At 47.8% G+C, this 26,039-nt stretch overlaps 1 protein-coding gene across 4 annotated transcripts in view, besides 1 other annotated feature; it reads right to left on the bottom strand.

The window, feature by feature from the left end:
- Positions 1-1,456: 1,456 nt before the first annotated feature.
- Positions 1,457-26,039, bottom strand: part of CTNNBL1 (catenin beta like 1) — a 178,089-nt gene continuing 153,506 nt past the window's right edge. For all 4 annotated transcript variants that reach the window (XM_024451947.2, NM_001281495.2, NM_030877.5 and 1 more), the window contains 3 exons: positions 13,539-13,676; positions 13,231-13,303; positions 1,457-1,650 (listed from right to left, as the gene is read on the bottom strand). In XM_024451947.2, the coding sequence (XP_024307715.1) occupies positions 1,562-1,650; positions 13,231-13,303; positions 13,539-13,676 (300 nt within the window). In that variant the 3' untranslated portion in view covers positions 1,457-1,561. The remainder of the gene's footprint in view (positions 1,651-13,230; positions 13,304-13,538; positions 13,677-26,039) is intronic.
- Positions 19,611-19,730: an enhancer, noted in NCBI's record as "active region_17851". NCBI's record gives its function as "activates an Ori minimal core promoter by ATAC-STARR-seq in GM12878 lymphoblastoid cells {active_cell/tissue: GM12878}" and the evidence as "EXISTENCE:reporter gene assay evidence [ECO:0000049][PMID:35858748]".

Genomic DNA, 26,039 nt, shown 5'->3' with positions numbered 1-26,039 from the left:
AATGATCATAGCTCACTGCAGCCTTGACCTCCTGGGCTCAAGCAATCCTCCTACCTCAGCCTCCCATGTAGACGAGATCATAGGTATGTGCCACCATGCCTGGCTAATTTTTCTATTTTTTGTAGAGATGGGGTTTCACCATGTTGCCCAGGCTGGTCTCGAACTCCTGAGCTCAAAGATCCTCCCCGCCTTGGCCTCCCAAAGTGCTGGGATTACAGGCGAGAGCCATCACATCTGGCCTGAAATCACAATTCTGAAGTCACAAATGTGTGTGGGAAGAACCAAAGGAAGCAGCAGCTACCAAGCCACGACTGTGCCTTCATCACTGCGCTGCAGGCTTGCTGAGCATGCCATCCTCAGCAGCAAATGGGTATTATTGGCCCCACTGTGCAGTTTAAGAAGTGAGATTCAGAAAGGTGAAAGTCACTTATCCAAATGTACAGCTAAATCAGCCAGATGTGGTGGCACCTCCCTCTCAGCTACCCAGGAGGCTGAGGTGGGAGGATCGCCTGAGCCCAGGAAGTCAAGGCTGCGGTGAGCTGTGGTTGCACCACTGCACTCCAGCCTGGGCCACAAAGTAAGACCCTGTGTCTTAAAAAGAAAAACAAAACAAAACCGGCCAGGTGCAGTGGCCCACGCCTGTAATCCCAGTACTTTGGGAGGCCGAGGCAGGTGGATCATGAGGTCAGGAGATCGAGACCATCCTGGCTAACACGGTGAAATCTCGTCTCTACTAAAAATACAAAAAAATTAGCCGGGCATGGTGGCGGGCGCCTGTAGTCCTAGCTACTCGGGAGGCTGAGGCGGAAGAATGGCGTGAACCTAGGACATGGAGCTTGCAGTGAGTCGAGATTGCGCCACTGCACTCCAGCCTGGGCGACAGAGGGAGACTCCGTCTCAAAAAAAAAAAACAAAACCCAAACCAAAACAAAATGTACAGCTGGTAATGATGCAGTGGGGAGATGGACCCAAACCTGTCCACTCTAAAGCAGTGGCTCTCACCCTGATGCACGGAACCACTGGGAGCTTTAAACAGCCCAAATGCCAGGGCCTCACTGAGAGATTGGATGCTATTTTTGCGGTGGGGCCCACGTTGGGATCTGGTAATTCTCCATGCAGCCCCCACCCGAGTGGTCTGACACGCGGCAGGGCTCTGCATGCTCTGAGGGCTGTGCTGTGTGGCTGGCCTCCCCAGGGAACTGGAGCATGAGGCCAGGGCCTTGGGTCCCACATCTAGACTCTAGGCGGGTCCCCAGTCCAGCCTCACAGCAGCACCACCTGCGTAGCCACAGTGGCGAAGTTGTCACTGCTACACCCTCTGAGCCTCAGCTTTCTTGCAGGCGGAGTGAGGCTGCCCATGTGCCTTCCCTGGGGGAGTCCTGAAGTAGCTGCTGTGGGGAGGGGGCAGGGAGGGTCAGCAGGCGAAGCTTAACTACAAAGAAAACTGGCCCGGGGATACCAAAACTAGCTTTAATTTGTCCAAAAGCCACACAGAGTTGTGTAGAAACTGATCCTGGGAGGGAAGCTGAGAGAGTCCATGATGCGCAGGGCCAAGGTGCCTCTAGAAGTTCTCCAGCAAGCCCAGGATGCGCTTTTGCTCGTTCTCCCGGAACTCCGGGCTCCGGCCGTCCCCGATGTTCTCTGCATACTCTAGGGGGACAAAGATAGAGTCAGGAGTGGATCCCAGGCATGGCATCCACCGTGGCTGCGTCGCTTCATACCTTTCCCAGAACCCCAGCTCCCACAGAGGTGCAAGTCGCCCTAATGCCCCCACTGTAGCCAAATTCCTTGGGGTCTTGCCTTTGAGGCCTCAGTGGAAAGGTCCCAACTTACCTTTCCATGCTTGGATTCCCCTCCTAGCCACACCCTTCACTTCCGCCCTCATGTATTTATTCACTCAACACACATGGCGTGGATGCTACTAAGGTCTGAATGTTTGTGTCCCCTCCAAAACTCATGCTGAAACCTCATCCTCAACGCATCGAAGGCCTTTATGGGGTGATTAGGTTCTTACCATCTAATTATAAGATTAGATTAGGTCTAGATTAGGTCTAATCTAGGGGGATTAGACCCTTGCAAAAGGACTGCAGGGAACTCTCAAGACCCTTTGCCCTTCCCCCTTCTGCAATGTGAGGATGCAATAGGACGGCCCTCAGCAGACACCAAAGGTTGGGGCAGTGCTCTTGGACCCCCCGCCTCCAGAATTGTGAGGAAGTACATTTCTGTTCTTCATAAATTACCCAGTCTCAGGGATTTTGTTACAGCAGCACGAACAGACTAAGACAGACACCAGCTGGGCAGGCACTGCTCTGGGTGAGTGGTTCTGAGTGTGGACCCGAGCAGCAGCAGCAGCAGCAGCACTGCATGGAAACTTACTAGAAACACAAATTCTTGGGACCACCCTAGACCCACTTAACAGGAAACGGGTGGGGCCCAGTGATCTGGGATTTATTGAGTCTCCAGGTGATGCTGATGTATGCTCCAGTTTGAGAACCTTTTTTTGGGAATGGGAATAAAGCAGTGATAGAAACAGATGCAAATTTCTGCTTGTGTGGAGCCTACTTTCTAGTGAGGGTCACAAACCAAAAAGTGAACAAAATACACAGGTGGCTGTCAGCAGGGAGTATCTGCTTAAAGATCAGAAGGAGATGAGTGTGGAAAGGTCTAGGAGCGAGTGGCAGGGCAGCCAGGGCAGAGGATCTAAGGGGAGGCACTTCTTTGGTTTATCTGAGGGTCAGCGAAGAGGTCAGCGTGGCCACAGCCTGGAGCCACGGGAGGGGCCATACCCAGATGGTGTGGGTCTGTGCACCACGGTAAGGGCTGTGGCCTTTCTGTGCGGTGGGTCCTGAGCAGAAAGGAATGACGTGATTTGACTTTTGCCAGATCCCTCTCAATGCTGTGTGGGGGACACCATGGGGGAAGCAAAGGCAGGGAAAGGAGATGCGACGTGACAGTGGCCTGGATTGGGCAGGTAGCGGTGGAGGTGAGGCGACGTCTTCAGCTTCTTGATGTTTTCTGAGGGTGGCTCCAATAGGATTTACAGATAGACCGGAAATGGGGTGTGAGAAAGAGATATGGATGTTGCAATCACCAAGAAATATGACAAGAGCATTGGGGAGGCTGACAGTGAGCCCAGAATCCCCGCAAGGACTGGGGGCACAGGTGCTGGTGCCAACAACAGGGAGGGGCTGTCGGGGGGTGCAGTCCCCCGACACAAACTTCGACAGCTGGGTGTATTCGGGGAAGGGAGGGAGAGAGAATAGTCTAGAAGTACTGGAGCATGGAAGACCCCTCCTATGTCTCCAGTGGCAGGAGGGGTGTAGGAGCACCAGGTTTCAGTGAGACCAGGAAGAGAAAGGAAATATTCCTGAGGAGGGTGAGGCTCTGGGCACAGTTCTGGCAACAGATCAGCAGAGGATGCCATCAGAGAGTGTCATGGTGGGCAGGCTTGTGTTCTTGTCTCCCCTGTTGTCCCAGCACAGTGATCCTTAAGACGCCATTTCTTTTTTTTTAGTGTCCTCGTCCCCCAAAATAACATGGTCACCCTGTTTTTTTTTTTTTTTAGGAGATGGCGAGGGATGATTTGGTGACTCTGGACTTCCTGCGGTGGCTCCTAGAGCAAGTGTAGGGGATCTGGTGGGAGGGGAAGGGGGAGGATGGGGTGGTCCAACCCTTCACTGCCCTCTGACTGTCCCCTGCCCACAGCCAGAGAGGAAAAGGCAATCAAATCCTAGCTCTGACTCACAACTGTGCCCTTGGGTGGTCCCCTCTGAAAATGTTCAAATAACAAACGTCCAGGGAACATTAGTTCCCTCCCTCAGCCTCCTTTGCTCAGGCCAGTAATGGCACTGGGGAAGTCCCACACCTCCTCCGGGTCCCCTCCTGAGATGTCTTCTCTGTGAAAGCCTGCCTGGTCACCTCTCACTCCCACACCCGGCCCCAGGCCACTGCCTCCAGCACATGTGGGCCTGACTGCTAGACCATCCTCCACCCAGCCCCTCTCTCCCTAGACAGAGAGCTGCATGAAGGCAGGGGCTTTCGCCTTCCTCCCAGCTAAGCCTGGCCGAGGGCCCCCCAGCAGAGTGTCGTGCTGAAGGATCTCCTGCAGTGGGTGACTAGGATGGCTGCCTGCACTTCTGCCCCCTGGTCCCTTACTGGGGCCTGGCTTGAGAAAGAAAATGGAGAGAACTCTCTAGTAAGAGGCTTTTGCATAATAAAACACCTGCTGATCCAAACCAGACAAAGACTGGGGAGACAAAGCATGTGACCTCTCACCCCTCCCCTGTCAGCCCCACCCCTGCCAATGCTGGGGAAGTAATTTTGCTCCTGCTACCTCTTTATTTTGCCCCGTTCCTCTTTATTACTTTGGTCGTGTGCCAGAAAATGGGATGTGGGATTCAGGCATGTGCCAGCTGTGTGTCTACCCCCAGAAATCCTCTTCTGTTAGGCCCATCCATCACCTCCAACAGCAAGTGGTTGTGATGCCTCCTATTAAGGCCCCTTAGAGAGAGGGCCAGGGTGATGGAGACAGGAACTGAGCTTTGGCAGAAGGCTCTGGGGCTGTGTGTAAGTGGTATCTCTTACTCACATGTGAATGATATAGTTGCTGCCCCAGGAGAGAGAGAAATGACCATTATGGCATCTAATATCCCCGGAGGCATGGTCTGGAAGCAGGAGTCTTAATGGATTGAGCTAACACTTTGCTCTCCTAATGTCTTCTCAGACCCAGGAGAGAGGGAAGTGGAGAAACAGTCCGATGCTGTGGGGCAGTGATTTTCCAACAGTAAAGCCGGCTTCCCTGAGTTCTTTCTAGGGATGTACGAAGCAGAGGGAACCCACACCTGCATCAATCCCTTTGCCGAATCACCTGTGCCGAGGCCTCGCTTACATATGCCGACGGTACACAGAGCACCCATCCTATGCGCAAGTCTCCTGTGTCACTCCAACTGTGCTAAGAAGCAAACAGTCACATCACCCATTCTCTGGAAAGGGGATATCCGACTGGCCCACAGGCAGTGAATGGCTTAGTGTCCCCTGGAAGAGGGCCTGTCCCATACAGAGCGGAGTGGAACTAACATGTGCTGTGCACTGCTATGTGCCTGCATTTTCTAGGTTGTCTCACATGTAACCTTTGCATCAATCTCACAAGGTAAAGAACACCATCCCTACTTACCCAGGGGGAAACAGAGGCTATCAGAGAACTGAAGCAACCCGCCCAAGTCTAGGATGTAGAGGAGCCGGAATTCAAACCTTGAAATGTGTGGATAGTAAAAAAAAAAAAGGCCCCTAAAAAACCACTGGGAGGGGGCCGGTCCTCACAGCAGCATCCTGTTACCTAAGCAACAGGCTACCCTGCCTGGCCCCTAGTCTTTGGGAAAAAAAACTCTGCTCTGTGAGCATTCCAAAACAGGAATGTCTTATGGTACAGTGGCCTCGGTGGCCAGGACAGATGTGGGTGGACTGGCTGGGGTCACCCTCTCTTATGCCAAGTTACCAAATATCAGAGTTGGAAGGGTTCTCAGAAATTTATTGCAGCCCTGAGGGGGCACGTGGATGGCCAGGGTCCCACAGTGAGCCGGCCACGGAGCCAGGCCCAGAACCAGGTCCGACGACCCGGCCTAGTACTCATCCACTGGCCTAGTGCTCATCCACTGCCCGGGGAAGCTGCACCCTCAGGCACCTCAACCTCACCCTTTGCCCTTGCTCATTCTTTGTTTCTATGGCAGAGTCCTATTTAGAGCAAATCTTGGTGGTGCCAGCTACCTCTGGTTATTACAGCTGCTGCAGCAGTTTAAATATTGAACAGAGTCCTCCCAGAGGTCTTGGGAAAGAGTTCTCTCTGCTGCATGTGTGTGTGCGTGTGTGCGTGTGTGCATGTGTATGTAAGAGGAAAAGAGACTGCAGGATGAGGGGAGAGGGAGAAAAGGATGAGGGGAGAGAGGGAAGAGGCTAAGTCAGTGGAGAGTGAGAAAGACGGCATACACGTCAACTCCTTTCTCTACTTCCCCCACATTTTCAAATGCTCTTATAATAAAGGCTTTGATGGAACTCAGAAACAGGCAGCAGTGCTGAACGCATAAATATTAAAGCAAACTTTAGACAGCAGGTTTACTATTCAGACATGGAATACAAGCTGTTCTGTTTATGTTGAGAGGGAGAGGGAGGGGGCACTGGGGCTGGTGGATGGGGAAAAGTCGTCTTCCAGGGCGGAGACCTGGATGAGTATTCACAAGCCTGGTTCAGATCCATGAACCTTAAGCCTTACATGTTCACCTTTTTAAAAATGCAGGAGGAAGAGGGAGGAGAGAGGAGGAATGCCCAATATTTTCACATTGAAAACCCTTGAAGATGTACATATAACCACAAAATAGAAACTGAGAAAGGAAAATCCTTCAGGTCTAACAGAGATTCCTTGACAACAACAATGAACTTGGAAGGTTGAAAGTTGCGCTTCTCCAGAAGTAGAATATTTTGCTAGGCAGTAGGTTCTCATTTCATCAGGGATGCCATTCAAATGAAACCCACTTACAGAGAAAGACCCTTGCTCTTGCTTACAATGCCAATGGTCATGTTCTCAGAGTCCCATGGATGTTTTACACAGTTGGAAAAGCACCCACTGACAACCACCCACCCCCACAAGGCCCCGGGGAAGTCGAGCCTGTGTGCTGGTCCCTGCTTTTCCTGGTGGCATCTCAGTCCAAGCTGCTGCTAACTCCAGGCGAAAGGATTAGGTCAAGGAAGGAAGGAACTTCCATTTACTGAGTATGTAACTTGGTCCCAGGCACCCAACTGCATTTTAACTTTGGAGGCTTCCTGAGAGAGGCAATATTTATTTTAGGTGTTTTTTTCTTTGTGTTTTTTACAGAGGAGGAAACCAAGACTTAAATATGTTACCTACTAACTTGCCCAGAGTTACATGGAGATCCAGAATTTATGTTGGTCTGAGCATCTCTGTTCCTGGGTGAGCTTGGACACTAATTATAACAATAAAGACAGCTAACATGTAACAGGCACTTTCTTCTAGGTGCCAGCCACCATGCGAGCACTGTACATACAGCACTTCACCTCATTCTCACAGCAGCCTTCTGAGACAGGTTCTCCCCATCTTACAGATGCAGGAGCTATGGCTTGGAGAGGGGAAGAGCTGCCTGAGGTCAGACACTAGAAAGCGACAGAGCTTGCTTGTGAACCTGGGCAACTCACTGCAGGCTCCATGGTCTTAGCACAGTTGGTTCTCCAAGAGTGGTTCCCCCCGACCCCTGCATACCACCACCACACTACCCCGGGCAGCGCTTCCCGAGAGCCCTCTTGGGTGAACTGGGTGTGAGGCCCGGGGGCAGCAATCCTAAGGCAAATGTGACATCTTTGCTGAAAAGCTCTTGAGGTGTCCTTAAGATGCCTCTGAGCCTTGTCAAGGCCGCTGGCTACAGGGCTAACATACAGGCCTCTCTCCATGATCCTTTCCTGCCTCCAAATACCCTGTGGGACACCGTATCCATGACCAGGCGCAAGCCACGCACATGCCAACATGTCATCCAAAGATAAATCCTATCAGCCTCTGCAGCTTTAAAATCACACAAATTGGGTTACCAAGAGCCCCAAATCAATATGGAAATACATGTTTATGAGCTACTAGGAGGAGATTTTAAACCATAAAGAATACTCGCAAATCAAAGGGCCATGGGCCAAATTCTAAAAGCATTTAAGTTTCTGGCTCATTCTTTTCGCCCAGCAGTGAGAGAGTTTTGAGTCAGTAATCCTCTAAGATTTTCTCTGCAAACCAGCCACTGTGCAGTAGCCATGGCTGCTCCTGGGCATCTGTGTGGTCCTCCAACAACTTTCACCAGGAGACTAAAACATCGATAAGACTGGCCAGTGGCTTCCACTGCAACCCTTGGCACAAATATTTGTATTTCGAAGCATTCTCGGGTCACAGCTCCTACGCCACAGCCAAGGTGATGACTGCTCAACAATGCCCATGCGTAGCTGCCTGCGGAAACCCTTCCCATGCAGGCAGCCACAGAGACAGAATGCAGAATAGTGGCTGCCAGGGGCTGGGGGGAGGGAGGAACGGGCAATTCCAGTTTTGCAAGATGAAAAAAAGGCCTGTGGATAGATGGTAGTGATGGTAGTAATAGTCAAAACGATAAATTATTACTACAATAATAAAAAATAAAAAAGAAGCCATGCCTTCCGTACAGCTTCCCTGGATCTTTGGGCTCCTTTTCATGTCCAGCCGGATTAACTGTGAGTTAACTGTGCCGTCTTCATTCCCCTTGTACCTCTGCATCCCAGCACTGGCTCCATTCTGCTTTGCGCTATGGTCAGTCACCTCACTTGTGAGGGACGTATGCCTGTTGGGGACAGGGTCTCCTGAGTGTCTCACTTATCTTAGAAGCCTGCCTAGCACCCTGTGATGTCAAATTGGTGCTCTCTAAAGGTGAGTGCCCTGCATTTTTCTTCTCTCCTAAAAGCCCATAGGAGCATATGGGCCAATCAGCAGTTGGCACATTCCTTACCGCTGTGCATAGCTCCTTCTGAGTCTGGATCCAGTTTACATCACCAGAGACCCAGGTACCCCCACTAAGCTCAGTGAGTCTCAGTTTCCTTGTTACCCCACTTTCTAGGCCTGTTGTGAGGACCAGAGGTAATGACACTGTACCCCAAAGGCCTGACCCAGAGGAGGTAGGAGCTCGGTAAGTGACTACTCTACCTACCATGGTCCTGGATTTCTGGAATAGAAGAAGCCTACAGCACCACCTCAGCACGCACCCCAGTCAGCAGTAACTGACTCCTCCTCTCTGCCAGTCAGGGTGCCGAGCACCACAGAAATAAATGGCAGTAAGTCTGCTGCTGTTCTCATGGAGCACATGGCTCCATCTGCCCTTCTCTTTGTGGCCGTCTCAGTCCTCAGACCACGGTTCCCTAGGAGGGCCCACAGTCCTCAGGCCAGAGCTGCTGCTGGTTCTGGGGAAGGCTGGACGTCGGGAGCACTGAGTAAGCAGTGTGCAGAGACAGGGGCTGTAATGAGCCATCAATTATTCCCTGCGCTCTTGGCACCCCCAATAGAGGAGGGAGAAAATTGTGAGAGTGGGGGCTGAAAAATAACGGGAAAAGTCCCCCGCTGGGCTTGCCTCATCAGCGTTTTCCTGAGACCTCAAGGGATACATCAGCTGTCATCCTGCCAGCAAAACTTAGGAAATATGTAGGCCATAAAATCAAAGAAAAAAGCTTGCATCTAATTAGTATGTTAAAGAAAAAAAGGAAGCAACCCAAACTGAAAAACAAAATTAAAATCAAAGAGGACAGACTGATGAGCTGGTTTTCTTTATGAGGCTTTGTTTTCTTGGGCTTTTGATTGAAGGAAGGGTGGGGTGGGGGGGGCGTGGTATGAAAAGGAGAACCAGATGGGCTTTTGGACGGGGGTCCCAGAAGAGCCCAGCCTCCCACCCCTTCCACCTCCATGGGAGTCTCAACCTTGTCAACCTCAGCACCACCCTCTCCACCCAAGTGAGGGCTCCTCAGGGTCCTTGCAGCACCCTGTTCAGGGGGTGCTCCCAGAGGCAGGCCACACTGCACAGGCTCCACACCCTGCTGCAGACTGGCTTCCCCTGCCGTGGGTGAGGCAGGACAGGGGCACACCAGCGGGAGGGCTGAGAACTCTTTATGACAACCTTCCATCTAGAGAGAACTCTTTTAATTGCCAGCGTGATGTTTGGGGCCTCTTCAACCTGAGCAATGGCGTTTAATTCCCAGGCTCTAAATATCACCTCCACACTGATGACCTCAAATTTCCCAAACGATTCCCCAGGGACTAATGAGAATGTCCGCTGTCTGCTGGCCAATCAAGGGATGCAGTCACCCCTTGTACCCCAAACTCACTGTGCACCTAGGAGAACTCAGGAGCCCTGCCCAGCCACACCCCACCCAACACTACAGCCTCCTGCACCTCTTCTTGGCCTCCCTTGAAGGGGCTATAGTCCTCCCCAAGGCCACTGCATCCTGCCCTGTCCTCCTCCAGGCCTCTGCTCCCTCTGCCTGGTTTGGGTACCAGTCCTAGTCCTGAGGAGGAGAAGTGGCTCCCTCCCTGCTTACATAACTGCCTCCGTGCCACTCCCTCCCTCAGCACACTGTTCACAACTTGACGGGTGCTTAGCACGTTCTAATTAGTTTTGAGCCTCTCCCCCTAGACTGTGAACGCCTCAAGGATAGGGATCTCGCTTATTCCTTTAGTATCTCTAGGACTGGACACAGAGCCTGGCACTGAGCAGGGCCAGCTGAGTAGTTCCTGGAGCGTGCATTTCACTGGGCTTGGATTATGGTCAATCATTTATACTCTATGTCCCTGGAAGGCTGTAAACTCCATGAGGGCAGCTGCCGTGTGACACCTCCATAGCACAGCACTTAGCACTGTGCCCAGCTAGTCCCGAGGAGAGTCACAGTCAATGTTTGCTACGTTAAATTCATACAAGGGTAGGGTTTCATTCCACAATGTCTGAAATTGTTACTGGTTCCCATTATTTGCTTGGCATTGCTCTGGGTGCTGAGGAGACACAGTGAACAAGGCAGACAATGTCCGTCATGGAGCTTATATTCTAATGTATGAGACAGACAAAAGGAGTAAACAAACACATAAATAAAAACAATCATAGGTTGTGATAAGGGCTCGGATGGAAAGAAAAAGGGTGCTATCATGGGAATAATGGATGCAGAGAAGTGGATGGATTCAAGGTTGAGTTCGGAGACAGAAGAGGTGGGATGGACTAAGGAGCTGGCTATGAAGGGTGATGGGGAGAGAAATGAAGGGCTGAGCCCAGGCCTGGAAGGATGGCTGCGAGGGTCTGCATGGAGGTGGGGGAGGTGAGGGTGGGCAGAAAGCAGTGGGGGAGAAAAACAGAGGGGTGGGAATGAAGATGGCGTCTGTGCAGACCCTTCACTGGTTCGCTCACCTGCTCGCTTGCCCAGGCACTCACTCAACAATCATCCACTCAGTATCCAGTATGGGGTCAGCACCTTAAAAGGCACTAGGGAAATAAACCAGGATCCGAGGGAGACAGAGGCTAGGGCTCACAACAATGGAAAATTGTGAATCACTTAGGGTGTGTGTGGCAGGGTTTGAGAAAGAAAAACATCCAACTACTACTACTACATGTCAGCACCCATTAAAAATACTTTTCCTTTCTTGGAAGATCACTGTTTTGATTACAAGGATGGAGGTGCAGGGAGAAGGCTCAATGCAAGATAGTAGAGCTGAGGGTAATAAGAAGTTCTAATTGAACATGTGGGCATTAGAAGTAAATGCCATTTAAAGGCTGGAGTTGCAAATCACCACAGCTACACCTTAGGGAGGAGGCAAAATGAGGCTCTGAGCAGTAATTCACGCGAATCTGACACTGAGAATGAGAAGAAGCCCCCAGGGTGTCACCCCGGAAGGCATGAGTGGGGCTGTGTCCATCAGACCCCTTTACTCTCTTTTTCTCTGAGGAGAAAACAACAGATTCCAATGCCTCATACTCTCCATCTACAAAATGGGTGCAATGGATTTACCATTCCCTGATGGGGAGGGCTGAGCAGACACGAGATTTCCAGCCCCTATGCCTTCACTCACACTGCTGTTTCTTTCTGGACTGTCTCTGTCCTAGCCTCTCAGACCAGCTCAATGCCACCTCTCTCACAAGGCTTCCCACAGGATTTTGGCCATGCCTCACTTAAAATAATAATGACAATGATCTTCCTGGTATTTTGTAACACTCACACTAACGTTCACTGTTAACTTGTGTCACCTCATTCAATCCCCTTGCCCTTTCTAGGAGGTCACAGAGCAACTGGTATCTTGCTTGAGGTAACAGAGTAAACAACAGAGCCAAGATTTGGATCCACAAGCCTCTGACCCTAGAGCCCACGCTCTTAACCGTGCTTCACTTCACTGTGTAGACTATGTTTATCCTCACATTTCATCCGCCACCTGGAATGGGAGCTAAAAGCAACTGAAAGGTAAGCTCTCTGAGTAAATCTAGCCTAGTCCTTCATCTTAGAAATGGGCAGAATGAGGGCCCGAGGTGAACACTGATTTGTCTAGAGTTACCCAGTCCATCTGGACACTCCCTGAACTCCGGCATCGTCAGTACTGGAAATTCCCACATGGGCCTCCACTGCCACACGTACCAGCCAGCGCTCTCCAGTTAGTGCCTAGGTGGCTGACGGTGGGGCTGCATTCAGAGCTCAGAACAGGGGCCCCGCCTTGTAACTGGGGGCTTGCTCACCGACTGGAGGCCTCTCCAGCTGAGTCAGGTCCAGTCAAAGATCCAGCAGCATTTGGGGAACTCCATGGGGTGGGTGAGGAGGAGGGAAACCCACACTGACTGAGCACCCGCTGTGTGCCAGGTACAGACTGGATGCTGTAGTACCTCCTGTAACCTTTGCAAAATTTCTCCTAGCTGTGACAGGCTAGCAGCTAGAGGAGGCAGAGCTAGGCCCAGAAGGCAGGCATACTCTCCACCACTCCACATTGCTTCAATTCACTACAGAATTCCAGTTACAGTAGTCCCCTGCATCCCGACGGATGTTCCAAGACCCCCGATGGATGCCTGAAACTGCACACAGTACTGAAACCTATGTACACTATGTTTTTCCCTATAGATACACACCTATGATAACTACACAACTATGATAAAGGTTAATTTATAAATTAGGCACAGTAAGAGATTAACAACAATAACTAAATAAAACAGAACAATTATAACAATATACTATAAAAAAGTTATATGAATGTGGCCTCTCTCAAAATATCTTATTGTACTGTACTTATCTATTTCTGGACAGTTGACTGTGTGTAACTGAAAGCAAAACTGTGGATAAGAAAGGACGTTTGTATTTCTTGTCATTTCCTTGCTTTTTTTCCCTAAGAAAGCAATTTCCTTCCACTATGTGTAGTTTGGAATTGAATTTTTTGTTTTGCTTTTTTAAAAAATTTTAACAACTGTTTCAAGCCTTTGTGCCTCTTGTTTATGGGTGTAAGTTCTGGAACTGGAGGGTAAGAGGCAGAGAACAACAAGGCTAGTCTTCCGTATTCTGACAAAGACGACCTGGACACACAGTGAAATGGACAACAACTTAAGCTTTCAGTGCAGAAAACGCTCCACATCAAATACCAGGGATACTGACAGAGGCTCAGAAAGTAAGCATCATCTAATCCTCTGGAGCCCCAGACATGAGTAGCATCCAACTCACCCTTGATGATATGCCTGACAATTTTGATGGAGCTTCCTCGCATGTTTAGGATCTGGTGAACCCTCTGGCGAATCTAATAAGGGAAAAAATGGGTAGAGAAAGAAAGACAACCATTTGTCCTGACACACCAGAATGTATCACCTTGAAATGATATACTTCACCCCATCCCTGAAACAAAAGGCTGATGTAGAGTAAAGGAATTCAAGGAGAGCGTGACCCCCTTCTTTCCCTGAGTGAGAGTCCACCTAAGCAGCTGGCGAGGAAGGAGGCAGGGATGGATAAGCCCATCCAGGGGAAGACCCTCCTACCTGGGGGACATTGGCATTGCAGATCTCGGCCATGATGTAGCAGATGTGCTGGAGAACAAAGAGCCCCGCATCCAGGCGCCGGAGGTAGAACTCCTCCTCGGTGTCATTGTCGATGATCTCTCCTCGCCGGACCATGTCCTAGAAACAAATGAACGTTTAGGAATAAAAGCTGGACAGTGAATGGGAGGAAAGAATGGACTCCTAGTCTGGCCATAATACACACAACAATAGCAACTATAACAACAGCAAAAGAAAATCACCTCATCTTTTTGATTTGTCTACATCTCCCTTTAAAGTATCTTTCATGTTCTTCATTCTTAATGGACTATAGAGGCCCCAGGAGGCAAGCTTAAAGCCTATTTTTTCCTATCTGACGAATCAGGGCCAATATGATCTCATCCACATATAAAAAAAGCTAAAAAAAAAAAAAACAAGCTGACGGGACACAAATCCAAGCTATTTATCTGCTTCCACTCATTTTTCACTCTTTGGTTTGGGCCTCCATAAATAATCTCTCTGTAAGATACAGTTGGCCCCTGACCTACCATGGATCGACTTTATGATGAGGTAAGAGTGACAGGCATGCAGTAGAAACTGTACTTCTCCTGCAAGGCTGGTAGTGGCAACGAGCCTCAGGTCCCAGTCAGTCAAGCATTTTCTTTTCTTTTTTTTTTTTTTTGAGATGGAGTTTTGCTCTTGTCCCCCAGGCTGGAGTGCAAAGGCGCGATCTCGGCACACTGCAACCTCCGCCTCCCTGGTTCATGCGATTCTCCTGCCTCAGCCTCCTGAGTAGCTGGGATTACAGGCACGTGCCACCACGCCCAGCTAATTTTTGTATTTTTAGTAGAGACAAGAGTTCTCCATGTTGGCCAGGCTGGTCTTGAACTCCTGACCTTGGCCTCCCAAAGTGCTAGGATTACAGGTGTGAGACACCACGCCTGGCAGCCACGCATTTTCAACTCATGATATTTTCAATTTATGGTGGGTTTATCAGGATGCAATGTTATCGTAAGCTGAGGAGCATCTGTATACTTAAATCTGCCTTCCAAATCAGGTTAAACACAGGGGAGAAAGGTCCCCTTTCTCCACAACTCTGAAACCAATGGCACAGGCACCCAACTTGCGTACATATGCCCTCTGGCTTAGGTGTTTTGTCAGAGGGCATGCTGCATTTCACACGTCCAACACTCCCCAGGCCAAAGCCCTAATTAAGTCACAGGAGTCTCCTTTGTAACCCTAGACCTCTCAGACTTGCTGTCCTCATATCCAGTCCTCCCTAGTAGATTCCTTTAAAAAAACAAAAACAAAAACAAAAAACCCAGCTTTACTGAGATATAATTCACATACTATACAATTCATCCACTGAAAGTGTACAATCTAACAGCTTTTATATGTTGAGTTGTGCAATCAATTTTTAACATCTTTACCATCCCCCAACCCCAATCCTCTCGCCCCTCATCCTGGGCACTGTGAACACTTCTGCCAAGACAGCTCAGGGCCCTACTGCCTTCCCCCCTTGGGATTCCGGGGTATGGTTCAAGTTCACATCATTTTTCAGCTATGTCCATAACAAAGGCTTTCCTGATTTTAAGGCTAACAACTGCTCCTTTCTAAAATTGCTGAGAGCACCTTGACAAACCACTCTGCAACATGACCTCCTCTCCTCCCCATCATCTTCATACTGACTTCAGTCCCCACCAGCTATCTCTGTCTGCAGCCTTTATTTCATGAGAGTGGACTGTGAGCTCTGTGAAGGTAGGGCCCTAGCTCAGTACACATCTATGCAGCCAATGAGACAATGAGAGGAAAAAAGACATCTCTGTTTTTTTGTTTTGTTTGTTTGAGACAGGGTCTTACTGTCATCCAGTCTGGAGTGCAGTGGCATAATGACAGCTCATTGCAGTCTCGACTTTCTGGGCTCCAGTGATCCTCCCACCTTAGCCTCTCAAATAGCTAGGACTACAGGTGCATGCCACCACACTCAGCTAATTAAAACTTTTTTGTGTGTGTAGAGACAGGGTCTCACTATGTTGCCTCGGCTGTTCTTTGAGCTCCTAGGTTCAAGTGATCCTCCCGCCTTGGCCTCCCAAAGTGATGGGATTACAGGTGTGAACGATTGCATCCAGTCAGACATCTGGTTTGGGCTATGAGCTCTCAGGAGTGAGAACTCGGTGTGGGGACTTGTTCTGCGTGACTAGCCCATGGGCCTAAGAAGGCACGTGCTCAATACATGCTTCTGATGGCAACAATCCATTTCATAATTCTGTTGGTAGCTTTATGGCCACCGTTCCTTCTGACAACTTGGGCTCCTGTCACTGATGGGAAGCCCTTGAGATCCTGCTTTCCACTCTTCCACATTCAAAGAACTCACCACTATGGTCATCAATCTCCACCGAGAATCCTTCAGAGACTATTTAGACACAGATAATGCACTTCTTTATTTGCCCAGGGGGCCAGCCTGTAGCAACACAAGGCTACTTTTCATCTCGGCTCCTATGAGGCCTCTATCTTTGATGTGGAAATGAGTGAATCTACTTGGGAGGACTGGATATGAGGACAGCAAGTCTGAGAGGTCTAGGGTTACAAAGGAGACTCCTGTGACTTATCAGAGCTTTGGCCTGGGGGGTGTTGGATGTGTGAAATGCAGCATGCGCCCCTGACAAAACCTGAACCCTCTTTGGCCTGCAGACTGCTAGGCCCTGCACTGCCTGGCAAATCACTAACACTAATTCCTAGCTTCATTTAGTAGCAAATTCATTGGTAATCTGGTAATAGCATTAATGTTCACGAGGTAGTCATGGAGCACTGGACTCATGTCCAACGAGTTTAAAAATAGAACGTTCTCTTTAGTTTCTCATTTGCTCATAATCATGACTTCCTGCTCGAGAACTCTGAAGTGTTCAGCAGTTACTACGAAATTTTAAAAGGGCAGAGAAGAGATTATTCATCCCACTGTATGAATTACAAACCAAAGCACACAGAGGTTAAGTTGCTCATAATTACCAGTTGCTAGAAAACGGATTCCCCAGGGATAGGAATCGTGTCTGATTCATCTTTGATATGGAAATGAGTAACTTGGTACAGTGTTGAGAACTCTGGCCCTACTAAGTGCCTAATGGCAAGAACACTACCCTAAGCACTGAATTAGGGCAGAAAAATAAGGAAAATGGAGGTAAGGGAAGCCCTGGTTTTAACCACTGAAGAGGTCGGTGGAAGTCACAAACTTCTAGGAAATGGCCAGAAAGTAAGTATAGTGTGCCCACATGTTAAAAAAATTGTAAGTGATAGGTGCTGATTGGGGTTGGGTGAAATGTAAGGGCGTCCTGGAAGAAGTGACTTTTGGGTAAGGTTTCAGGGCGAGTGATGGGCAGAGACAGCAGAATGGAGCACCTTAGAGGTATGGTCTTCGCGTTGTGTGAGGGCCCTACAAGAAACGACTTGTGTTGGCCATACTCTCTGCTCACTCCCCCTCACCCCAGCCCAGCCCAGACAGGCCTGTGTTCCCTTCCTGGTCTCCTCGCCTTGCTCATGTTGGTACCGCCCACTCCTCAGTCTCTATCATCATATATTGAAAGTCTACAACGTGATGTGCCTCACAAAATGTTCCCTGAGAACCCCGAGCAGATATGATTTTTCAGTCCTTCAACCCCCTACACCCTGGATTTGTACCTCTGTTGTGGTACCTCCCACGGCCTGCCTTGAACTAGCCATTCAGATCTGTGCCTCTTCCTTGTGTGCGTTCCTTGAAAGGAAGAGCTGTACTGTGCTCATCTTTGTACCCTAGGAAGCACCTTGTGCAGCATTTTTTTGCTTAGTAGGCTCTTTTTTTTTTTTTTGAGAAGGAGTTTTGCTCTTGTCACCCAGGCTGGAGTGCCGGGTTCAAGCGACTCTCCTGCCTCAGCCTCCCAAGTAGCTGAGATTACAGGTGCCTGCCACCACACCCAGCTAATTTTTGTATTTTTAGTAGAGATGTGGTTTCACCATGTTGGCCAGGCTGGTCTCCAACCTCTGACCTCAGGTGATCTAACTGCCTCGGCCTCCCAAAGTGCTGGGATTACAGGCATGAGGCGCTGTGCCCAGCCCTTAGTAGGCTCTTGGAAAGCATTTGCCAAACAGTATTGAAAAAAAAAGAAGGGAGAGGTTCAAAGCTATTTAATGAGCTGTGTGTGCTGAGATTTGCATGGCTGGGGCAGAAGTGAAAACATCAGGAAACGGGGAAGGACTGTGCCTTGGAGGGCGAGCTGATGGTAGGCATACAGGCTGGCCAGAGAAGTCAGATATGATGGGCTACAGAGTGTCAGCCAGCACTGTGCAGGAAAATGTCATGAATCAGAATATGCAAACAGCCAAATGATGGACACATCGGCTTAGAGCATCGAGAGGCAGGTAGAGTGCATAGCTGGAAGACCAGGGCATCAGCCTACGTGAGAAGGGGAAGGGAAGAGAAGAGGCCCCTGGAGGTCACAAACACAGGAACCTGGAGTGGAACTCATTCATTTACCCACTCAACAGAGATGTCTTGAACAGCTAACTGTGCCAGGTGCTGTGCTGGGACAGCAGTGATAAAACAGTCTACATAATTGAGGTGCTTATAATCTAATGAGGTTAATGAATATGAAATTATTTTTGAAAAATGTAATAATGACTATTATAAAGGACCTTTCAAACTGTACTGAGTGCTGTGGGAACCCAGAAGAAGGCTGGACTAAGTCTATTTGGGGGGTGGGGTCAGGAGTGCTTAAAGAAAATGTAACATCTGAGCTGGATTTTGAAGGAGTTTGACAGGCTGAAAAGGACATTCCAAGCAGAGGAGATAAGAGCATGCACAAAGGCACAGAAAAGTCAACTCAGAGAGAACAACAGTGAGACATCAGTATCACTAATGGAAACATTAGAAAGGGGTAAGGGGAGGCTTTTTTTTTTTTTTTTTGGCTTATTAGATCACAGCTTTCGGTAGATCATATTATTTTTGATTGATTACTACATACTAGGCATTGCGTGAGGCAGTCTGGATAATAACTACTGCTATCATTACCCACCTACCAGAGAGGAGCAGCTAGTGTTACTGGGGACTTACTATGTGTCAGGATAGTGCCAAGGGCCTTCTGTATATTAACTCCTTTACTTCTCAGAAATATTGAGAAGCGGGGCCAGGCGCTGTGGCTCACACGTGTAATCCTAGCACTTTGGGAGGCTGAGGTGGGCGAATCACTTGAGGCCAGGAGTTTGACAGCAGCCTGGCCATCATGGCGAAACCCTGTTTCTACTAAAAATTCAAAAATTAACCAGGAGTGGTGGTGCACACCTGTAACCCCAGGTACTTGGGAGGCTGAGGCAGGAGAATCACTTGAACCTTGGAGGCAGAAGTTGCAGGGAGCCAAGATCACGCCACTGCACTCAGCCTGGGGCACAGAGCAAAACTCCGTCTCAAATAATAATAATAATAATAATAATAATAATAATAATAATAATAATAATAATAATATTGAGAGGCAGGGATTCTTACCCCCATTTTAGATGAGGAAGCTGGCTCAGGCAGAACAAGCTCCTCAAGGCTAGTGGGTGGCAGAACTGGGACTCAAACCCTAGTCCATGCTCTTTTCATGCTACCATGTTTGTGTGGGTATAGATTTCGGAGCTGTCTGGAGAACAAAGGAAGACATTAAATATTAGAGTGATAGGGAGGCTCAAGAATGGAGCTTAGCAAAATTAAGTTTCTCTAATTAGGTCAGAAGTACCCCTGGTGATTTTTTCCATTTTCATACTTTTCTCCATCATCTGATCTTCTTTTAACCAGGCAGGTACACACTGCACCTTCTAGTTTCTCTATATTGTCATTTAGAAAGGACAAACTCAAGAGAGCAATGCCAAACTCCACTTTCTTCTCTTTCCTCAGAACTTCAAGACTCTGACAATGTTCAATGCGACATTCTACTTTTAGCCATATGGCCACATGATTTGAAAGTGAAATTTTCAAATGTAGATCTGAGATACGACTATAGCTCATCTCCAAGAAAGGCATCATCATTGCTGCATTGAACATGCACAGAGATGAAACAGAGATTGGCTTCTGAAGATGAAGTTTCTGCCCTGACAGTTTTAGAAGTGCCATAGAAACCAGCATGCAGTGAAGTTGACTGTTGTCAGAATAGCACCTTATCTAGCCTGTTACAACTCTGTGGCATGGAATATTTACTGCTGAATGGATTCAGGGAAGCCAAATATAAATGTGTACTCAGTGTTTAAAAGGAAATAAAATAAGCAGAATGATTATGGAAAACAAGAAAGTGAGAAAGTGTGGGCAGTCCTCTATCTTCTCAAGTTTTGGTCTGTTTTAAAAAGAAGACGGCATCACCTTTATTCTCTGCCCATCTTACTCCATACAGACAGTGTCAACTTCTAAATGGATTAATACACTTCTGACTCCTTTTATGGGTCCCCAAGATGCCACATAGAAAGGTGATCTTGAGATAAGGACTCGAGATGATTCCTTGGCTATCTGTGTGTGATGAGGTAGAGCTGGCCATCTGAAAGAACTTCGAAGGGTGCCTGAAACTCCAAAATGGCTGTTGTCAACTCCACTCATGATCGGATGGCTAGGATTCAGTCTCTGGAGAAGCAATGTAAAAGTTCTAGAAAAAAATTATCATCACAAGCTTCTCCCTGCCTTATATCTTCCCTCATCAAAGGTCCTGGAGGAAGTGAAGGAGTCTGATCTATAATACTCTGACCATTATGCACTAAAGATATATAAGTGGACTTGTTTCTCTAGTGGTAGGGAAAAACTGAATTATGCCCCACTGACCAATGAGACATGTTTTAAAAATGGCTAGACAAAGAACAGAGGGAAGTTAGCTGGCCCGTGTGGAGATCATACCTGCAGCCCAACCTCCTTAGCACATGGGGACTGAACTAACAGGTTACAAATATCCCATTCTAAAGAAGGCACCCAGCTTCCCCTTGCCTCCTTTGCCCCTCAAGAGACCTTGTGTGAGTGCAGGAAGCATTCAAATTAGATACTGGAACTCCTCTAAACTATGATATATACATTCTACAAATAAGTTCCTCTGCCAAGGTGGAACAGAGTACTAAGAAGATGGGATCAGATCCCAGCTCAAACACTAATTTACTAGTGTCCTTAGGTGAGTCATTTAACTTTTCTTGGCCTCAGCTTCTTCGCTTGGAAACAGGAAGCCTGCACGAGATCAGGGAAGGCAAACAGGGTTCATCCCAAGTGCCAACTCAACCCACTGCAGTGAGTACAGAGTATGATACAAAAAACCGTCGTGAAGCCGAGGCGAAGCTCAGTGGGAAACAGCCCTGAAATCACTAGCAATGCCCACCCTGACTGCAGGAGGGGAGGGTGGCAGTGTGCCTCACCCCTGTTTCCCTGATCCGGTGCTCTTGAAGGTCCTTTTGGCTTTGATAATCTGTGGCATGTCTAGCCAGCTGTAACGGATTTCTACCTGCGTATGGGTATGTGGATGGATTCAGGATGTTGGCTGATGGCGTTCCCAGAGAGAGGAGCCACTATGAGAAATGCCTCAAGCTGGAGACACACTTCACCACCGCAACAGGACATGATGGCCAACACTGATGATTAGCTCATCCTTTCATCAATAAATTCATCTTCCCTGTGACAAAGACACAACCCCTGGATCTGCTGTGACATTAGGCCATTTTAAGACAACAGGGGCATGCAAATCACGTACGCTTCAAATGGGAATATGATGAACAGAGATTTAAGGGACGTTCCAAGAATCCAGTAACTTCCTTAAGTGTCGTAAATATTTCTCACTTTACAAAACTTCAGAGTGAAAATCTATATGTACGTTGGACTGTATCTGAACAAGACAGGAGAGTTAAGATTTAAAGGGAGTCTTCCACAAATCAATTCACTCAACTCTCACCTTTGAAGAGCCTGAAGGTGACTGCCTTCTTTGTGAAGCAATGACAACTCAGCATTCATGCAGCATTTTTTACTGTGCAAAGCAGGGCACCTGCATTAATCTTACCTGCTGTACATGCCCTGTGTTGGGTATGTACAACAAATACCATTTTCAGATTTCACAGATGGAAAAATTGAGACAGATACCAAATGACTACCATTGGGTTTCAGTTGGAGACTTGAGTGGAATGTGATTCCATAGTCCCAGGCCTTCTCTATTAGTTCTTTCACACTGGCAAGAGATGACAGCAAAAACCGAATCCTAACAATAGTGAAATTTCTCGAGTCCTTACTAAGCGCCAGTCACCGTGCTAAGCACTTTCACGGATTTCTCATTTTTCCTCGCAAGAACTCCAAGAGGTAAAAACTATTACTATTTCTACTTTTCAAATGGGAAACTGAGGCTTAAAGAGATGAATCTCTCCTAAGGCCAAAAAGCTCACGGGGAACAGGAAACAGAACAGAAACAGGACAGAAACCCATGCAAATTTGTTTCCAAGGCTGTGTTCACTTTCATAGTTCAAAAAAGGAAAAAGTCTATGTTTTATGGACTTTTCATAGTATTAGCATATAAACAAATAGATGGGATATTTTTCTTTATGCCATATCTGGAGACTAACGCAAACCAGTAGCATTAAAATGTAAGGTCACCTAGCTTCTTGGCCTATAGTTTCCCTATAAATTCAAGAAACTTTTAAAAGGGAAACAAAAATCTATAGCTACATCAGCAAATTCCACATGCAATCTGAGACAGCTAAGAAAAAAAAAAAAGAGAGAGATACTCTGGTAGGTTTTGTTTTGTTCATTCCATAAGAGAGGGCTAGAATAAAAACTTAGATGGTAATTCAGCGAATGGTGCATTCGGTAGAACAGACTGCAATTCGCAGCAGCATAAGCCTGTTTAGGGGCTGCTAAAATAAACAGCTTCATCTCCAAAGACACACAAGGAGGTGGTATGTGTAGCGCCAAGGTGCCATTTCCGCAGGGTTGTGTGTGTGTGTTTCCCCCTCTTCCAGCCACTTACTCATTTTAAATGTTAATCTGTCCTTGGGAGCACTACTAAATCACCATCTTTGCACATGCCTCCATCTCTTTCAGCAGTCAAGTCGCAAGCCCTCCAAATAAGCATGCGGATGTCATTTCTAATCTGCCCCTGACAGGCAGTGAGCTGCCCCTTGCTGATAAAAGGAGACAGTCATAAAAGAGGCTGCTATGAAGCCAACATGAACCTCTCTTGCCTTAATAACACGGGACATGACTCAGAGCCGAAACCTGAAGCCTCCACTCGGGTCTCCAGTCATGGGTGGGAATTGCCTCACCATTTGGAAAATGCTAGTTTCTTTCTTCCAAAGCAAGGGGAGAAACTTGAACCACGGGAGAGGGAAGTAACTAGAGATGGGAGAAGCATCAACACCAGCAAAACAAATCTTCCTCCAAAAGCTTCTAAAATAGGGCAGACTATTAGAGAAGAATCCTAGAAACTGCAAGTCTTTTAGCTGGGGAAACTGAGGCTGAAGAAACTGATGGCAGTTTTGGTAAGAATCCAAGGCTCTCAGGCCACAGCTTTGCCCACAAACAAGTGACTGCCTACATGTTAGTTCTGTCTCAGCACATACGCATGTTGCAGGCTTTTACAAACAATCTCATTAATCTTCAGAATGACCCTACAATAAAGCTATCATGAAAATGGACACACACACACAGGGCAAGGCATTTCCCAAGGGAACAAAGATCACGTGTGGCAGAGCTGGGATTTAACCTTGGGCTTGCATGACGCCATACTTATGTTCCTTCCATATTACCATGATGCTGCCATCACAAGTGTGATGCAAATTCTAAATTTACTTAAATTCAGTCAATTTCTAAATTTACATCCCCCGCTAAAAAAAAAACAGACTGCTCACTTGAATTTTGACAACTTATACTCTGGTCTTGAGAGAATCAGTACTTCTGTGATAGCGATGCAATAATACAAGGCTGAAAACGACAACCCTACTGGAGAAAAGGAGAAAGTAAGTAAGATTAGTCCCTATTTGTGAAGACTGAGAGTTAGTTTAGAGGGAGAGACAGATAAGCATGCAGGCCCAAAATACTTGTAATAATAGCTACCACTTAGGGCATACTTCCCTGTGCCAGGAAATATTCCAAGTGATTTACATATACTGCATTTACTTAATCCGCCCCACAATCCTACATGATAGGTACTGTTATTCTCATCCTTTCACTGATGAAGAAACTGAAGCAGAGAGTTTAAGTAACTTGATTGTAATCACCCAGCTGGTAGGAGTCAGAGCCAGGATTTATGTCTACACAGTCTGGCTCCAGCATCCCTGATCTTCAGCCTGAGGCTGCAGTGCAAGGGTGCACTTGGGGCACACAGGAGGGGCTCCAGGTGGTCTCAGGGAAGATTTTCTGCAGAAACTGTCAGGGAAACGCTAAGCAGAATGCTTAGTATATGACAGACACTCAATACATGTTTATTGACTAATTTGTTTGCCAAAATTCTGAAGGATACAGAGTAATACATTAGCCAGCTTCATGAAAGGGATGTGGAAAAGATGGCACAGAGAGGTATTCTGGGCAGAGTTCGGAGCAATGGGCCAATGTCTAGAAGGTTTGAGAAAGCACAAGGTCAGGAAGCGTGAGTGGTACAGAATGGCTTTTGTACATCACGAGGGTGAGGGATGTATCTAGAGCAGCCAGCAGGGGCCAAACTGGGCGAGGCACCATGAGGCCGGCGCAGGAGGTTAGACTGCATCCCGAGGGCGATGCAAGGCCACTGTTTACTGTGTTTGGGTGGAGAAGTGCATACATGAATTTACATTTTAGAAAAATCTCTGGTTGCTGTGTAGAAAATGAACTGGAGGGCCCAAACCTACAGATAGGCAGACTAGTTAGTTAGGCGGGTGCTGCACTAATGGAAGAAAACAAATGATGGTAGCCTGAATGTAAGTGTTGGTAGTAAAGAGAGAGAAAAGTGGATAGGCTGCAGAGATATGAGAGGTAAAGCGGACCAGATTATGAGATGTGGGAGGTGGAGGGAGAGGAGTAAACAGATGATGCCTATTTTTGATCTAGTCAAACTGGTAAACTGCCCTAATATGGGCAGTAGGGGAAGAGATTATACAGGGCTAGGGCCGCAAGCCTGGTTTTGGACTCGCTAAGTCAGAAGAGCCTATGGGTGATGTCCGGGTGGCAGCTGGCTACGTGAGTCTGCAGAGATTTGGGAGGCCCTGGCACTTAGCCCCAATCTCATCAGATCTTGCAACCAGCCTATGAGCTTGGTAGGGGGAGAGCCTATTAGCACCACTGAATGAGGACAGAGAGGATCAGGAAGGCAAAACAGTGCCCAAGGTCATACTGCAAGGTAAGTGGCAGAGGTGTGGGACCAGAATTCAGGTCCTCTGACTTCTCTTCCAAGAGTAAAAAGGATGATTGTGATTGGCAAGGGGGCAGGCAGGGAGGCAGTAGAGGGTGAATGAGCAAATGGTTGAAATTGGGTATTAGAGAGGTAAAAGCACGACGTCCTCTGCCCCCAGGCCCCCTGTCACAAGTTTTACTGGCTGTAAGCTGTGTTTTGGCAAATCTATGGACTGAGAAAGTTTGGGAACCACAGGTTTAAAGAAGAGCCTAGGCTAGGCGCAGTGGCTCAGGTCTGTAACTCCAGCACTTTGGGAGGCTGAGGCATGAGGTTTGCTTGAGCACAGGAGTTTGAGAACACCCTGGGCAACATAGCAAGACCTCGTCTCTACAAAAAAATGCAAACATTAGCTGGGCGTGGTGGCACACACCTGAGGTCTCAGCTACTCGGGAGGCTGGGGCAGGAGGATTACTTGAGCCCAGGAGTTTGAGGCTGCAGTGAGCTGTGATCACGCCATGCCACTGCACTCTAGCCTGGGTGACAGAATGAGATCCTGTCTCAAAAAAAAAAAAAAAAAAAAAGCTGGCAGTGGGAAGGGAGCTGGGAGGAACTCTCAGCAGGATTCTTTTTCAAAGCTTGCCCCAGAATCTTCCAGCAAGTTAGCAGAAGAATCGATGGCAGCCGCACAGTTTCACTGTCTACCATCTCACCCAGTGTTTTAGGTGCACGTACCCCCCACATTCACTCCTGCACTTCACCCCCTTCCATATAAATCTTTAAATGAGCTTCGAATGCAAAGGACAAAATCTGTTTAAGACATCAAGTCCTGTGGATACTGTTTCATTACAAGGAGTCCATCTTTTTCTTTTCAGGTAAAGCCTGGAATGATTTAACTGTGACAAAATTAGCATGCAATTTGTAAGTCATTACGGTGCAAACTATGTGGTAAGAACACTTTATTGAACAAACCTGCTGAGTATAATTTTCCCAGGAACTAAAAAAGAGAAAACCTCTCTCCAAGGCTCTCCTCCCTCTTTTAGAAAAATTCCTGCTAGTACCTATATAATCATGTCTTCTTTCTGACAGTCAAAAGCCAGGCATGCTCTATACACTTAGCCAATGGAAACGGGAAAGAATCAACAAGAAGTCAGGATGCCTTCCCAACAACAGGCATCTTAGTATTTTCTGGGCT

The sequence above is a fragment of the Homo sapiens genome, chromosome 20, assembly GCF_000001405.40.
Source record: "Homo sapiens chromosome 20, GRCh38.p14 Primary Assembly".
Lineage (NCBI taxonomy): Eukaryota > Metazoa > Chordata > Mammalia > Primates > Hominidae > Homo > Homo sapiens.
The sequence above is the reverse complement of the archived record's forward strand: the minus strand, read 5'-3'. Positions and strand labels throughout refer to the sequence as shown.